This window comes from Homo sapiens, chromosome 1 (assembly GCF_000001405.40).
Source record: "Homo sapiens chromosome 1, GRCh38.p14 Primary Assembly".
NCBI lineage: Eukaryota > Metazoa > Chordata > Mammalia > Primates > Hominidae > Homo > Homo sapiens.
This window is the reverse complement of record NC_000001.11, coordinates 88,534,519-88,552,324: the sequence shown is the minus strand read 5'-3', so window position 1 is coordinate 88,552,324 and position 17,806 is coordinate 88,534,519. Positions and strand designations below refer to the sequence as shown.

The following is a 17,806-nucleotide window of genomic DNA, read 5'->3' as shown; positions in this document are numbered from 1 at the left end:
GGAATGAATGAATAAGAGAATGAATTAATAGTTTTTGGATTGAGAAATGTCTACCCCTTCTGCTATTGCATTCTGACCCATTACATAGAATTCCATGTATAGGCCAGTCTCCATGAAAGCAAGAAAAAAGTTAAAAAAAAAAAGAAAAAGTCTACCACTTTTCATCCAGTTAGTACACAAATACTGTGATAATTTAAATCCCAATGGTACAGTCATGTGGACCAGAACCAGCCCCTATATTGGCACGTGAACTTATTTCTACCCAGTGAGTCAGTTAAGATGGGAATAATAATTTAATTTAGTGTACTTCACTTGTGACTGTCACAATAAACCCTGATGTATGTATATTAGTTCCAAGAGAAAGATAATCCATGTCATTTGAACTTTCTTTCGCCAACTTTAAAATGTGGTTTGTAAAAAGTTTTGATTGAAAATAGAAAAACTCTGGTGAAATTTTCAAAAGGAGTAAATCATATTCTTGGGATAATTTCAATTAAACCATTTTCTATGAAGATGTGTCAGCTTTGGGTATGTCATGAGCCAGGTCTCTTCATATGCTTTCACACATAGGCCAAAGATTTGCTGCAAACTCTGTGAGTTAGATAAGTCTAGGCAGGTTTTTTCATTTCCCTTCTTCTTTACTTGTGGGACTGTCAACTCTCAGAAAATCTAGTGAGGCCCTAATTTATAAACATTCAATGTATCCTCATACTATTGAAGCATCATGGGAGGGGATATTAAGAGGAGGTAGAATCATGAAATTCAAAGAGAATTCCAAATGGTTCAAGATGAAAGGGAGCTTAGAGGTCATCATAGTCCAATCTGTTCATTTTACTGATGTAGCCGAAAATGGGGAGTGACTGCTACAACATTAAGTTTCTAGTTAGTTGTAGAGTTGGGCCACCAAGACTTTTCCCATTTCAAAATCTCTACTTGCTCTGGTCCCCATTACAAAAAAATTTTATGTGGATTTTGGCTCTGATGTCACCTCTTCCAACATTGGATGACTTAATAACTCTCTGTATCACTGTTCTCCATTTGCCACTCTTTAGAGACTCTTTCTACCGGTGACAGGAAGCTGACCTTTAAGGAAAGCAGCAGAAAGCTTCATGGTCTTCTGGCTTCTGGTTGGGTTTGATCAAAGGGAGACTTGGCAGGGTACTCTCAGAGGAGAGAGAGATCAGTGCATTTATGACCCTCCACGCCCGGACTGCAAGTCATTGGTGGCTGTGTTTGATCCTGAAAACCAGAGTTCTTGTTGGAAGATCTTTCCTTTAGCTACAGTTTTTTCTTTGTGTTCTGGTAACTGCTCCTTTCCCTCTCTACTGAGGCCTACGGGTAGTAGTGACCTTCCACTTTTACTAGTTCTAAGGTGTTTTGCTTTCCCTTACTCGTTTACCTTAATAGTGTCCACACATTTTACAAAGTCCCTTTATTAAACTCTCATCAATTACCTCATTGAGTATAAAATCTGTTTCCTGCTCGAACACCAGTTGATATACTCCATCCTCTGTCACCTTAATTTTTTCCTTCATAGCACAAATTACAAGCATACTCAGCTTTTAAAAATGTGTTTACTTATTTATTACCTGGCATTCCTGACCAGAATGTGTTTCCATGGCTTAGTGCAGTGCCTGACACATGGTAGATACTCAGTACATGTTTGTTAACTGAATGGTTCCAGACATACAAAGTTGTACTTCAAAATTCTTTCTATACATCACAATGAGAATAACTCTGTAGAACTTTTAAGGGATGAATCTGCCTAAAGGGAAATTTTAATTCATTTCAACGTCAAATATAAACTGTATAGGCTTTTGTGGGTTAGTAGTTGCTATTTAATATATTGTTTCTATGGTAAAATGTACTCCAGATCAACCCATTTTTTCCCATTAGATTATAGTTTCATGAAGGCAGGAAACAGTTGTATCTTCTCCATGGTTGTATGTTGAAAGCTTTGCACACTGCCTGGCACAGAGGTAAGTTCTTCTTTGTGCTGAAGACCAAGCTAAATACTAGTGACTTGGAGATGTATGAGGCAGGATCTCTCTCTTTGAGTGGCTCATAGTCTTACGGAAGATATTGACACACAAACAAGAATGGCAATGTAAGGCAATGGGTGATACAATGGAGGTTATGGGAAAGTGTTTTGGCCTTATAGAGAAAGGAGAGAAGCCAGGGAACTCTTGACAGACGATCTGGGTGAAGGGGGTGTGGTGTGGTCTTCCAGGACTTTTCTTTTCTGAAACAGCTTATTCAGGGGTGTAAGTTCAAAACTAACAGATTCTAAAATAAAATTTTTATCACCCAGTCCATTTAGAGCTGAGTATTTCATGTAAAACAGAACTTTCCTACTTGTTGACATAGGCTATTTTCCTTCTTTTATCCTTTTATTCAGGAAAAAAAAGTAAAAGAAGTAAAAATGACTTTTGAATCTGGATTTTCTGAGTGTTGATCATGTCAAAAGACAGTAAAATCTGTTTAAAAGATGATAAACTGATTATCCAAGTGTACTCTTTTAAAGCATCATGAAACTTAGCTGAAATTGACTGCAAGAAAAAAAGGAAAGAAAAACTTGTTATATTCCCCACCAGAGGGAGACAATTTTTTTCCTTTTGACTTTCAAAACCTAAATTCTGATTAATGCAGATTTGAAGAGTACAATACAAGGTTTACTGGGGCTGATTAATACCCGGGGGAAAAAACAAACTTACAGTCTAATTTGTTTACTTTTGTCTTTTAATATCAAATTATTTTTGAGATCTAAATTCTGTTCTGCCAGCACAGTAAATGCTACTTAACATGCAAGGAACTTTAAGAGCTACTTGTTATTTCAGTGTCGACTTTATCTCTAATTATATTAGTATGGATTCAGATAGGACACTGATAATATAACAACATGGAATAATTTAGCATTAATTATTTTTTATAGTAAGACATTTACAAATCAACCCTAAACTAAGAGAGACAAGGGGTATGGTGCTGGTGGAGGAGAAAGTGATAACAATGTCTCTTTCTATTGGCAAGACTGTAGATATTGGAATAAACTGAAACCAAGTCAGCCAATTTTCAATATGCTGCAACTCTACAAAATTTAAGAAAGAAATTAGCTTACAGTAGTTGCTAATTTAGGAAAAATGGTACATGAGCAATAGTTCCTTTCTATGACATATCTGTACTTAGTATAATTAAACATTTTATCAAAAATATAGAAAATTGTCTAGAGATTTATAGTGTAAGACCTACTGTACTTAAAAAAAGTCCAATTTCATGCCCAATTTAATAGATACAGTGTTAGATCTACATGTCCAGTGTAATTACTTGGACATTTCATTCTTCTCTATGGTTCTTTTTAGAAACCAGTTCAGATCTGACCTTGTGTAAATGCTTTTTAAATTACTCTGAATCATTTTACAAATCCAATTAGTGCACAGTCAAATCGCCTCAGCTCACCTCATTTGACACAGGGTGCTGCTGAAGTAGCTTTACTGCTTATTATGATTCCTATTTACTTATTCTTTGTCATTTTCAGAATATGTACAACAAAAATGTGGACTAATTCTCAGAAACTCACATTTAAACATGGGATAATGTGGAGGCATCAGGTAAAATATTTGTCTGGTTAGGAGCATGAGTTTCTTGTCATAATTCAGTGGCGGTAAATGGATGCTTTGGAAAAGCACGAAGTGTCACTTAAGTTTCACTTGCCTGAGGTATCATTTAATCAGCAAGCGCAGTTAATAATTTTGCTTTTCTATTTGTCAAGCTCTCAATATTTTTTCAATATGAAGTCTGCTCCAGTGTACTTTACATGACACTTTATAATTAGTGGTACTTGAGAATTTGGCAGTTTTAAAAATTCATACAACATTCTTAGTTACAATTTATAAATGATTTTAAAGTATAATTAACATTCATCTTTACAAGTTATATGCAAACAAATATGCAAATTTAGAAATAAATATGCAAACATATAAAATGTTTTTGAATTAAGTAGTCCTTAACATTTTTAATGAAATCAATATTTTATTCATATTTTGCACACAATTTTGAGTACTTACTGATTTGGGGGAGTCTACAGCGTATATGCTTTTTCGTATTGTAACCTTTAACTACCAGCAACAGGAAGGAAATGAAAATGAATTTTTTTTTTCTTTTTTGGAGATGAAAATCAAAGGCTAATTTAGTAGACAAATCCAGTAGGTGCTGTTGAGTGGATTATTGATGCAATTAAAATGGTCTTTTGCTCCTTGAACTGTAAACCTTATAAGGAACTTCTGCTTCCTTAGATGACACAAAACTCTTGCGGATCTCAAGAAGACAAAGTGGAGGGCATCAACAAACTGCCCCCTACTTTCTTGTGTGGCTATAAAGGCCAACACACCGAGTTGGTAGCTGTGGATTTTTAACATATTAAAGTCTGAAAGCAGAAGAAAGCAGGGTTCAGTATAAAATGAACAAATAATTATTGGGAAAATGCACCTTAGATGGAGAAGTCGCTATGCAAGAGTACAGATTCAAAGTTTAGTTATTATGATTTTAAAAACAACCTCTTCTAAAAAGTTAACTGATTCAAGATCTTAGTTCACTCATTCAACAAAAACTCATCTTTTTAGGCTCGGTTTCCGTTCTTCCTCTGCAAGGAAGATTTCTCACTAGCAGAGTCCTCTGTCTCTGAAATCATGTTGCATTGTAAGTTAAGTAGGCAATGATTTTTATGTGCCCACCATGGGCAAGGAATACATTCATTGCTAGCAGGGGTACAAAGAAGTATCAGAAATAATTAACTAGCATCACACAGTTTAGTTGTAAAATGTTCTCCAATTTTTACAGGTATGCATGCTTTATTGTCATTTTCAAATGACAAAATTCTTGAGGGAAAAACTTCATTTATACAAGGGATAATGAGAAGAATTTGTTTTTTGAGTGGCATCTCTGATGAATTAGTAGTTGCTCACTGGTATGCTCTTTAAAGAATGATTCTGAGGCTGTGGCATTAGCAGTACCAGCATTGCCATGTTTTTGTTATTCCTGCTCAACTTACAATCTTTTTAAAAGAAATAGCATTTCTTTTACTAGAGAATGAGGGCTTCATGATCCATTTAATTTCTCCATTGTAACTGCTAGAAATTCAGCAGAGAGTTTTGATATAAATTTCTTCTCCTTTATTGCTTGACTTTTTTTCTTTTATTTTGTATGTCATGTTACTGTACTATAGTTTGTTTTTGACAGCTGGTTGCTTTAAGTCTTTTTGAAAGAAACAAATCATTGCATACACTTACTTCTTCCTATAAGTTTTATTGTGCTTAGCATAGGTCCAGGACCCTAAGGAGGCATAGAATAAATGCACTTTGCATGGAGAACACTGAACTTGATGCTATGGAGGTCCCATATGGTAGGTGCACAACGATGCATGAATGAGTAAGTGAATGAATGAATGAGTTCAGAGGGAATTAAACCACGAGAAAAATCATGATGGTTTGTGACTTATCAAGGAAAGCATCTGATGAATCTTTTAAGGCTGATGCCTTAAAAAAGGCATAGAATGATGATTGGAAGAGGAGGAAATGGCTTAGATGAGAATAGAGGTTTAGCAAGAAGAATTTAAAAGGACAGGAGCCATCATGTAATAATATTTGACTCCTCTCCATGGGCCTATTTGCTTGTGTGGAATGTAAAATTTCAGGGAACAGAAATTTTTAAACATTAATTTGGAACACATTAGCGTGGCCTTCCATAGAGTATGCCAGAGTGTTTTTAGGTTGTTTGAAGATAAAGATGATCCTCTTACCTACATTATTTCAAGTTCAAAAATGAAAAATTATGGGGCATGATAATTTCAAGTTTTAGATTTAGGGTGAAATAATTCATTTAGATGCATCACAAATTAATCTTCCCTCATAGAATCAGAATAAGCAATTGAAATTCTGTTTTGCAGCAAGCTGCTCCATAATGTCTGTGGGGACTAGTTTTGTTTATTTGCTGCTATATGATAGTCTTAGGTAAACAACATACAGCTATATCTATGTGCATCTGGGTAGGCTTAAACATTTTTATTATGCAACTTAAAAATGAAAAAGCCAAATCTGCTGCACTTAAGGAAACAGCTAAATCCCATTCAGTGTAAAACAAGCCCCTACCACCTTCTTGTCAAGTAACTTTGGCCTTTAAAGACCATCCCCACACAATCAGTCCCTTCCATGGGCCTTTCATTCTTCCCATAATCTAGGATTTTTTTCCTCGACGTTTTGTTTCTCTGGGCTGAATTTCATCTCAGTTGATTGCCCAATTCACTTTTCATTCACTCATAATTGTTTTTTGAATTGTCTCAAATTCTCAAATGGATTATGACAATTTGAAAATTAACAATGGCGCCTTAATTGCATGGGGCTGTGTGATCCACAAAACCCTGTTGGCTGACGTTTTTACCCCCACCTGTAATTTTTTTTTTTAAACCAAATGTGAAAAGGTAGAAACACATATAAGCATAAAACACACGTGGTTGTGATTTACAAAAATTGTTGACTTTCCAGTATTTGGAAATTAACCACAGACACTTGCAAAACCATTTTACAAAAGAAATTATTTTAAAAATTCAATTGGATTTTCTTTCTCTCAAACTTAGCTTCTTTTGTGGAAGCAGCAACATATGCAAGCAGGGCAGCATTTTCTGGATGTGTATGGAAATTAAGATTCAGGAAAAATAATCATTATTCTTTAATTATGTAACTTTGGCTGGGCTCTCAATGCAGCTTGGCAATCCTCTCTCACTTGTCCCCGAAGGACTCCCTCTAGAATTCCTCTTGAGGCAGCTGTTTGAAACCTTTAAACTCATGCCATTCTACTCATGCCCCTCACTCTCAGCCTTTACCCTTACTTCATAATTTACAGAGACTATAGCAGCTCCAAGCTATCTCCTTGGACTTTCTTCGCTTCCACCTACAGACTCGCCTACAGAAGCACACCTGTTTTTGTTTTTTTTTTTCTTTGAGATGGAGTTTTGCTCTTGTTGCCCAGGCTGGAGTACAATGGCGCGATCTTGGCTCCACCTCCCTGATTCAAGCGAATCTCCTGCCTGAGCCTCCCGAATAGCTGGGATTATAGGCATGTGCCAACATGCCCGGTTAATTTTTGTATTTTTAGTAGAGACGGGGTTTCACCATGTTGGCCAGGCTGGTCTTGAACTCCTGACCTCAAGTGATCTGCCAGCCTCAGCCTCCCAAAGTGCTGGGATTACAGGTGTGAGCCACTGTGCCTGGCCAAGAAGCACACATCTTTTAATATTTCTTCTTCAGTCTTAAAGTAAGAGGGTTTTTCTTTCATCCCAGTATTAACTTTTTGGGTTCATTGGATTCTATCTCCTCTGACCTCCTCCCTAGATGTAAATTTTTTTCTTTCTCTTGTCTCTGATTCCCTCTCTTCAGCCTACAGACATGATCAAATCTAATCTTCCCCATCTCCTATTGCTTTAACCTCCTCCCAACTCTCATCTTATCTACCTTGGCCGTTTGTGTGCAGCCAGCCCTCTTTTACTTACCGTCTTCCTCCCTGCTCACCATGCACTGGGAGTTAGTAAAAGAAGGCCACACCTATTCCAGGTAATCACCTAGGAGCTCATGTCCTGTCCTTTTCTTTTCTCTTCTAGCTCATATTCTTTGTTCTCTATTGCTTGGTTTTTCACCCTGCCTTCAGAGAGCTGTTTCTGGATACTCAATTTTTGGTTTTATGGTTTCCTTGATTGTAGCTTTCACATACTCCTCACTTAAACTATGTCTCAACCTTAGTTTTTGGGCCAAAGTTTGGCCCTTTCTGCCAGGAGATGGAGTGTTAGACATTTTTCTGAACTATGAAGCCTTTTAAAGTTGTGCTTTGAGTATGCTTTCTGTTCTCTACAAAAGCACTGTCTGTTTCCTCAGCTCCCACTCACTTCTTATCCAACTGAAGCTGGTCTTGCTAAGATGACTAATAAGTCCTCTTTGACCCCTACAAGCAAGATGACTTCCTAATGCTAGATCCAATAGCCCATTGGCCAACACTAGGCCAAGTGGCCCATTTCCAATTTTCAATATTGTCTCATCTTTTAACACTATCAACTTCTTCTGACTTTTTGATATTTTCCAACTGTTGGCTTCCAGCACACTTATCAGTATGCATATTTTTACTGATTATCTACTACTCCGATTCTTGAGATACAAAGGGGAGTGGAACACGGTCTCTGCCCGCACAGATATTACAATGTAGGGTAGAAGAAAGACAAGTAAATAGGCAAATACAATTCATGATGTAAAGTCTACACATGGAAAATACTCACTCCTATGCTTGTGGGGGTCAAAGAGGACTTACTTCTAGACAGAAGCTTGAGGGATGATTAGGAACAGTCTAGGTCATGTGGGGCCAAGGGTGAGAGTTCCAGGAAGAAGGAGCAATTCTACCAAAATTCAAAGGAGAGAGGACAGGAATGTTCAGATAACTTCAAGGAGTTCAGTGTGATTGGAGCACAGGGGTTAGGGTGTGTATTGTAAGAAATGGGCTGGACAGGAGGCAGGGACCAGGTCATGGAAGGCCACATGAGCCATTTTTAAAGAGTTTGGAAATTGTATAAAGGCAATGAGAAACTACTGAAAAATGTTAATATTATACAGAGGAGTAATATCATCACAGTCATATTCTGGAAATATCACTCTGGTTGCTGCGATAATGAATTTGGTGATGGTAAGAGTGGTGGCAGGAAGTTGGGTTAAAAGGCTGTGGCAGAAATCTAGGCAAGATGGCCTTGGTCTGATCCCATAGAGTGGTAATATGGATATATAGAGGTAAAAATAAGTGGTGGGTTTTAGTGACATGAAAGAACAATAATGGAAAAGACTTGGTAATGGATTGAGCTATCCCTTTCAATTATCTTCAGTTCCTTTCTATCCTATCGTGGCACACTTACCCATAAAAATGATAGCGTTTCTCACATTTCATGTTATTTTTCTGTTATAGAATAGGGTCTATAACTAGGACTGTATTTGATTAATCTCTATCTCCATTGCTCAGCTTGATGTTTTGTGGATAACAGATAAACAATCAAGGCTGGTTGACTGAGTGACTCAACTTCCCTGGGTAATGTTTGATATTAATTTTTAGCATATACCTCTGTCGGATTATCTTCCCCACCCCTCTCACCCTTCCATTCATTATAGAACCATAAAGAATGCTTCCCAGTTTGAACATTAAAAAAATACCCTGCAAGTAAAAATTTATTCTTATGTTTAAACTCTTTATAAATATTTATTTTTAAGGATGTGAAGCCAGATACTCTATCATTCCCTTTATTAGCTTTCCATTGCTGCTGTAAAAATTACCACAAACTTAGAGGCTTAAAACAACACAAATTTATTATTTCACAGTTTCTACAGATCAAAAGTCCAGGATGGCTTGACTGGGTTCTATGTTCAGTGTATCACAAAGCTGAAATCAAGGTATTGGCTGAGCTAGCCTCTTATATGGAAGCTCTGGGAAGATTCCATTCTAAGGTTGTTTGGTTGTTGGCAAAATTTAGTTCCTTGCAGTTGTAGGATGGAAGTCCCTCTGTCCTTGCTGGCTGTCAACTGGGGGCTGCTGTTAGCTGCTAAAGACCACTCAAATTTCTCTTCACCTGGCCTCCTCCCTCTTCAAACCAGCCATGGCAAGTGTGGTTTTGATTCTCTTAGATTTCACCCTTTGACTATGTTCTCAGATTTTTAGGACTCATATGATTACATTGGGACCACTGGCATAATCCAGGGTGATCTTCTAATTTTAGGGCCAACTGATTAGCAACCTAAATTACATCTACAAAGCTCCTTTTGCCATGTGATGTAATATATTTATGGGCGTGATATTTTGTCATATTCACAGTCTGGAGATTAGAATGGGACATTTTAGAAATTCTATTTAATACATTCCTATTTTAAATTGGGAAAAGTTATATAACAAATTAGACACCACTATAATGTCATATTGTAAATTAATCAGTAGTGTTGGGCATAACTTTTTCCAGAAAGTGTCCTATAATTTTATCTTATATCTTTCATTTGTTACGTACTGAAGTTTTAGATTTGTTTTTTAACCTTTCCACCCTTCTACCCAAACCTACTATGTTGAATGGGGAAAGGATCAGTCTTCAGTAGCCAAGATGCCCAGATAATAATGTCCCAATGGTGCAAAATATACGTATATAATTTTGTGACCAGAAACAATTATAGAGACAGATTTTTAGCTCTGAGGAAGGAGAGAGGAGGCAGTGTGAACCTGTTGTAATCATACCAAGCACTTATGATTTCTGATCCCGAGGAATGGAGAATCAAAACTTTTCATTTTGGATAATCAAAATTCCTTGATAGCCCCCATATTCAGATATGACTTTTTATTTATTTAATACATATTTAATGAGCATCTGTCAGGTTCTCAGATACTATTCTGTGCACTAGGAATAGGATGTTGGATAAGGCATGCCAGGTTCCTGTCTTCTTGGAACTTCTTGTTGCTGTGTACTTTGGCAGACAAAGGAGTAAAATGGCAAAAAGAGGAGAGATGGGGGTGGTGATCTCTTCTCGTATGAACCAAATGCTCTTCTCATATGCTCAGAGAGCTTCAGATACCAATTTTTCTCTTTTCCTGAAAGGCAGCTGATATAGTTTGGATGTTTGCCCCTCCATATCTCCTGTTGAAATGTAATCCCTAAGGATGGAGGTGGAGCAGATCATGGGGCAGAGGTTTGGATCACGGGGCAGATCCCTAATGAATGGCTCAAGGCCATCCCTTTGGTAATGAGCGAGTTCATGCAAAAGCCATTTGTTTAAAAGAGGCTGGCCCCCTCCTCTCTCTCTCTCTCTTGCTCCTTCTCTTGCCATGCGATGTGTCTGCTCCCCTTTCACCTTCTGCCATGACTGTAAGCTTCCTGAGGCCAGAAGCTGAGCAGATGCTCATGCCACACCTGTACACCCTATAGAACCATGAGCCAATTAAAGGTCTTTATAAATTGCTCAGCCTCAGGTATTTCTTTATAGCAATGCAAGAACGGCCTAACACAGCAGCCTTGGAGGGCTGAAGGAGATACTCCACAGGAGAGATGGCCTTGACCAATATGACTCAGCAGGGGTGTAGGTCATAGAGACAGATAGAGTTGGAAAAATACTCTAATTAAACATTAGTGAGTTTTCTTTTTTCAAAAAGTTTAGCATAAGGAAAAAAAATGCCTAAAGAAAAAGTTTCAAGGATGACTTTAAAAATTCAACTCACAAAGTACCAGTTTGTTGTGTAGGATATTGGGAACATTTGGTGATACAAGAAATAGTTAACAGTTCTTTGCTTTTGTATTATCACCTTGTTTGGTGTACTGAGGCCCTGATGAGTTCCCAAAGAATATCAGGATGTGAATACAAATTGCCAATCTTGTAAAATCAGTTTACCAGTCAAATAAAAAAAAAAATCCGGACTTGTCTTTCTTTCATACAATGCTCAGAACACCAATGCCATTGAGCTTGTTTGAGAATAAAGATGAGGAAATTGTCAGTCATTAGGTATAGCACTAGCAAATGAAAACAATATTTGAGAGACCATTTATTACCAATTTCAATTCAGCTTCATTTGTGGATACAAACATATTGTGAGTATTTATCCATTTCTTCTTATTTTTTAGAGAAACAAAAACAGAAACGAAGATATCCATGATACCTAATGTTACAAGGAGAAGAAAGCACTTGTAATCACAAGGGTACTGAGAAAAGGTAACAGACACATTTATATATGTGGAACCAGGAATCTTTCTGATGACTTTCAGAAAGGGTGGACATACAAATAAAAATCAACCTTCTTCTTGGTGAGGATTTGACCCTGGTTCCATATTAACCCAAGAGCTGATAAGCACAAACCTGGAGTCCAGTTTTTATGCAAATATAACAACTCTGCTTATACCTTGAATTACTTGTATGAAGCGGGGAAAATTTTTTACTCTCTCTGAACCCATAATTAAAAAAAATCTGTATGACTTGGATAATAAACCCACTTCCTAGAATTTTTATGAATATGAAATATTGTGTGAACTACCTAGTATGTTATGGAGCACATGGTTTGTGTTTAATATGTGGAAGCTAGTATTGCTATTATTGTTGTTGTTATAAACAATAGCACTTCTATCTACATAATTCTCAAACTTTCCCCCTGAAGCTCAAGATACTTTAGTACATGAATTATTATTAACTTCAATGCACAGATTGAGAAACTGGGAAAAAATATGCAAGCCGCAGAGTGGAGAAAGAAAATTCCAGGTGTCCATATTCCTTGTCATGTAATTGCCACTGTAATTAGATCTACGTGATGATGACCTTTAGGGGACTGCCTCAGAGTGCTGAATTGTTCAATTCACTAGAGTGGCACCATCAAAATGACCTGATAATGTTAGCACAATTGTCCTTGTACCAAGCAGAAGAGTCCTTTCATTCCTTTTCTTCCTGTAGTTCCAGGGCTACACAAGCCCAGCAAAAAGCAGAAGCAGTGAATGAACAAATTATTTGGGATGATGCTAGTGGCTGATGTCTCAGAGGAGGCAAGCACCCTTTCTCAGACAACCCAGTTTCTTGACTCTCAGCCTTCTTTGGTTTAACTTTGGATTGTTAACCCTTTACTGCCTGAAACTTTGTCTAACTCCCTGTGCCTTTGGAGTATGAAGTTCCCAGTATATCATCTGCATTGATTTTGGTTCCTGTTTCACAAGCTGTGCATCACAGACCTTTATCTTGCAATTATCCATGGTCCGGATGACCAACTTCAGCCTTAAAACCAGGAGCAGACTTTTCCAATCAACTTTTGCAAATTCAAGGGGAAAGAAAGAAAAGAACCATGTAGGCTCTTGGATGTTACTTCTCTTAGGGAAAAAGGAAGGATATAGCTTGATATTTTTACTGCAGTCTCCCCAAACTTTCCACTCATCATGCTGCCAACATCATTATTAATCTGTACCTTCTCTGGAATTTTATGGGCATGTTGAATTCATTGTCATCTCCAGAAAAGAGCAAAGCATGGTGTGGACAATTTAAAACCACATTCAGTTGCTTTATTTTGGCCAAAAGTTTAAACATTTTTGTTCTTTATTTTTTTTTTAGCTTGTTAAGCCGTTTGCAGAACTACTGCTATAGATTAAACCTGACAGGTCTAAGCACATAGTATAACTGTATAACTGTGTGATGCACACATGTGTGTATTCCCTTCCCTACACACACACACACACACACACACACACACACACACACACACACACATTCCATCAGCATGTCAGATTTATGGAATTTGAAATGTTTCTTTCTCTAGAGAATGGTATAACATTTACATAAAATATCAGCTTACATTTTGTGAAATTTGACAAATTACTCATAAATCTCTCTTTCTCCCTTAATCTGTTCTTGACATGTCCCCAAAAGTTTTGAGATGGCCTTAGTGATACATCTTATACTCATGTCAAGTATTTTGTTGACATCAATAGGAGTTTTACTCATGTAAGAAGCCCTGGATTGGGTTACCAGACACATGAAGCAGACAAGAAGCATTCAAAAGTTGCCAGCGAATAAGAAGTGTCAAATAAGTGTCCACCACAAGAGCAAATATCCCTGGGTATCCATTAACTTCAATAAACAGAACATATTTGGCAGTGTGCTGTTTGACATGGATTTACAAAGGAGTTTGCCAAATCATTTTTTTCTTTCTCTCTGTGAAATGTCAGTGAAAGAAAAAATAGGGGAATGGTGGTCCCATTACTGGATAATTTCTATAATATTGTATAAGAAAGATAAGTTATTTGATATTCAAGATATGTATAGTGCACAGAGGCACCAATTTGGTGGGGAATTGATGACTCTTTCACCAATCTTCTAAGCACTGGCTTTTACAAAGCCAGTCCTATGACTTACGGCCCCATTCTGAGTAAAACACATAGTTCAATATCTCTTGACTGGTATCTTAAAAAATTGTTTAAAACAAATGTTCTTCTATTTCTGTTTTAGCATTTATTTTTGTTTGCACATGACTAAGGCTGTTTCTTTTTGGTAAATTTAATTTGCTATAGTCTGGACCCCAACACTGAAAGAATGCATCCTCTGAGATAGGGCTGCCAACTATGGCAAGTAGCATTGCAAAGTATATAAATTTGCTCTATATACTTTTCAAACTTCTCGGATGCAGTCACTGACATTTGGCCTGATCTAGGAAACCCTGGGGATTGGAAAAACACAAAGCATACTACTGTACTGACATGCAAAATGTCTTATAATCTGTCTTTATCTTTCATGGCTGCAGTGGTCTGGATAAATTAGACCAAATTGGGCTAAACACTGTCCTTGGCTACACTCACGTAGCTGTTTTCAACGGCTAATAGGAGCTGTGTGTGCACATCCAAGGACAGGATTTGGCCCCCTTTGTCTTTGCACAAGCAGTTGCTTTAGTTGATATGATTATTCCTGAATGACTGTTTTATAAGCAGTATTTTTGCCCAGTTTTAATCTTTTTTCACTTTATTCTTCATAGTCAAGACATTTATGAATATGGAAACGTGTAACCTAAAATCTTCGGTTTCTGGAAAAATAAAAATCTCCCTAATAAAACCTGTGAAAATTGCAAATGAACTGGGAAAGAGGTAAAGCAAGTCATATAAACGTTGGCAAAAACACAAGTAACACTGAGAAAACGTGTTAACACTCATTAATGGTTAACAATCTGATTAAAATTTTTACAGCACATTGATCCTTGGCCTTTCAAAAGGGAATCTGTCATTAAATAATATTTTCAAGGAAAATACATGTCACCAAATACATTTATTTATTCAGATGCAAAAAAGGTGAAATAAACTCTCAATGTAACTCCACCCTCTTCCCTCAGAAAATTATTACATAAATCTCACTATTTTCCAGAGGATAAACCTTTTAAAATAGAAGAGAACCAGTCTGACAGAAAAGTTTTTATTACTGAAAATTGCAACCTTGGCTTATCTTTGAATTTTCTTCTAGAAAACAATAAATACAATCAGCGCCTTAAGGTTTTGGAAGGGACTTCTTGCGTAAATCAATACATGATACAAATAAAAAGGAAGACACTATAATTTCTTGACTTTTTGAGGCACATGGAAGAATTAGCTCATTTCCTTTGTGCTTTGAGCAAATCTTATTCATAGCTCCTTATTGCCCATTTGCTGAAGATGATCAATTTAAGAACGTATTTAATTATACATTGGAACAGGGACTTTCAAAAGTTCATAAGTATGTACATTATCCATGCCAATATATAAATAATTGCAAGTTAAATATTTTCACTTTTTGTGGCATCATAATCCTTTATATAATAATTTAAGCAAAATAATCCCACTGAGTTCTTTGGTCAATAATTTGTCTAAGATAGTGGACTTTTTTTTTACTACCTGCCAATGTGAACAGGTTCCAGGTATTTGAGATCTGTCATATCTTTGCTTGAAACATTTTGAATACCAACTCCAAAAACTCGACATTAATAAAACATTAAAGTTCCAACTTATGCCCATAAAAGTCAAGAAATACAGAGTTAAGGTCGACCCAGGTCTCTTAACTCTGTTCTCCTGCATGCATGCATGGGTGATGGGGCAGCAGTGTGAACTGTTGCTTAAATCAGTCTTCCTGCATAATCTGAAAATGTAATTGAATTAGTGTATAAAGTATTTACATACCCTGCAGTAGAGAGCCCCACACACTATATTATCCACATCCCCTCTCAGGGCCCTCATTTTAACTCCTCACTGCAGTGTTCCTGCGAGGCTTCCTCAAACATTCAGAAATTGGACTTGCAAATACAATTTCCTTTCTTTTATGAGGCTTCAAGATGAGTGATGCACACTCAGCTTTCCTAGTTGCTTTCAGCTCCTGGCCAGGCACATAGAGTTTGGGTAACATTCTTCCTTTTGGTTAATATCCTCAGGGTTTGCTAGGTATTAGACAATGTCATTCTGTGGCTAAGGATTATTTTATGCTCTAATTCAACCAGATGCAGGACTGCTTGCCATCTTAATATGAAAATTAAAAACATCAGATTGAATTTAGAAACATAGTCGTATAGCAGACTTTGGCTTCAGGTAGATCTGTGTTCCCACTGGGTCCTTACTCTGCCACATACGTTAGTTAAGCTTTCCAAATCGCTGTTTTTTTCCTCTGTAAGATGGGGATAATAATCATCCTCAAGATTTTTTTTGATTCAATGAGAGTGTGAGACTTTAAAGAGAAATGTGCATAAAGTGCTTGGTATATAGTAAGCACGTAATAAATGTTTGCTGTTATTATTAGCACTCATTTTGGTAGGAAATAATAACATATTGCTTCAATTCATTTTTTTTCTTTCATCTGTCATAGAGAATGGGACAGGGGCCTTCAGTAGAATTTGAATGTTCAGAAATGTTAAAAATGAATTTGAACAGTAACCATAAAAAGAATGCTCATCCTCATCCATAGTTCAAGAAATGTGCAGAAATATCATTTTTCATCATTCAGATTGGCAAAGATGAAAAAGAATGGTAATATCCAGTGCTGAGTATGGAAAAAATAGGCTTTCTCATACACTGTTATAGTACTAGTGAACTAGTGTGCCATTTTAAAAGGCAGTCTGGCAATGAGTATAAAAATTTAAAACATGCATCTTGACTCAGCAATTCTACTCTTAGAAATTTATCTTAAGAAAATAATCAAGTAAGTGTTCAAGAATAGTCATGAAAGTCCTACAGAAAGTTGGAAAGAGCTTAAATGTTAATATGGGACTGTTAAACTGTAGTGCAGACAATGGAATACTATAAAACCATTAAAAATGAATGATTTTTACATGTGTGATAGGTTGAAATGAGTAGTCATAAAATGTAGGGCAGACACTTGAAATGGTTCCTGTTTTTTTTTTTGTTTTTTGTTTTTGTTTTTGTTTTTACCTTAATAACTGTTGCCACTGCTCTATGTAGAATGCCCTTTCTTTCTGAGAAGTGGGTTTCCTTAACCATATCTCAGTCTTTTTGCAGAACTTTAGAGTCACTTTTGGTTATTTAAATAGTTTGATTTAGTTTATTGAGACCCAGGGCCAGCTTCATGGGTGTGTGATCTGTGCAGAGTTGCAAAGAGCCCTGTGCTCAGAAGGGCCCCATGCTTGGTTTAATGATTGATTGTCACTATCTTGAAATTCTTAAGAATTTTATCTTTAAAGTCATGTTTTGTAAGTTTAGTCTGATGGGACAATGGCGCATGTGCATGAGCCAAGAAGATACATGCAATATGCATGTCTGCCATTCTTTGCCACCCCATTTGCACATAGCATTTTCGATGTCCGTGGGCACAGAATTCCCATGGACCCACGATGCGTGGGAGGCCAAAGTGAATAAAAGGTAAGGGAGTTCCATCTATTATTCAGCAAATGGGGTCCCTGACAGCCCCAAGAGGCCACTTTGTTCACTCAACCAGAACTTGCTTTGAATAAGAAAGAAGACAACGACATTCTAAGAGACAAGAATGTTCAAGAAACCCTATCATATTCTTTCATACTTGTTGTACTTCTGTGTATTTGGCAAGCACTTATGCTGAAAACGATGACAAAGAAGTAAAGGGTAAGAAAGGCAACATATAATTACTTTTTCTTTAAATCTTACTTTACTCATCAGTAAGCTGAAGGTAGGAAGCGTTGTAGAAGATGCACATATCAGAAAGTGAATTGAAAACAGTCGAGTTCTGCTACGACTGAAATACATGTGCATGCATGAACTACAAAATATCAATTGTAATTGTAGTGATTCCACATA

At 36.8% G+C, this 17,806-nt stretch overlaps 1 long non-coding RNA gene across 1 annotated transcript in view; it reads left to right on the top strand.

Moving 5' to 3' along the window:
- Nucleotides 1-14,812, top strand: part of PKN2-AS1 (PKN2 antisense RNA 1) — a 147,692-nt gene extending 132,880 nt beyond the window's left edge. Inside the window, exon 4 of the long non-coding RNA NR_110682.1 lies at nt 11,666-14,812. This is a non-coding gene — a long non-coding RNA (PKN2 antisense RNA 1). The remainder of the gene's footprint in view (nt 1-11,665) is intronic.
- The last annotated feature ends 2,994 nt before the right edge of the window (nt 14,813-17,806 follow it).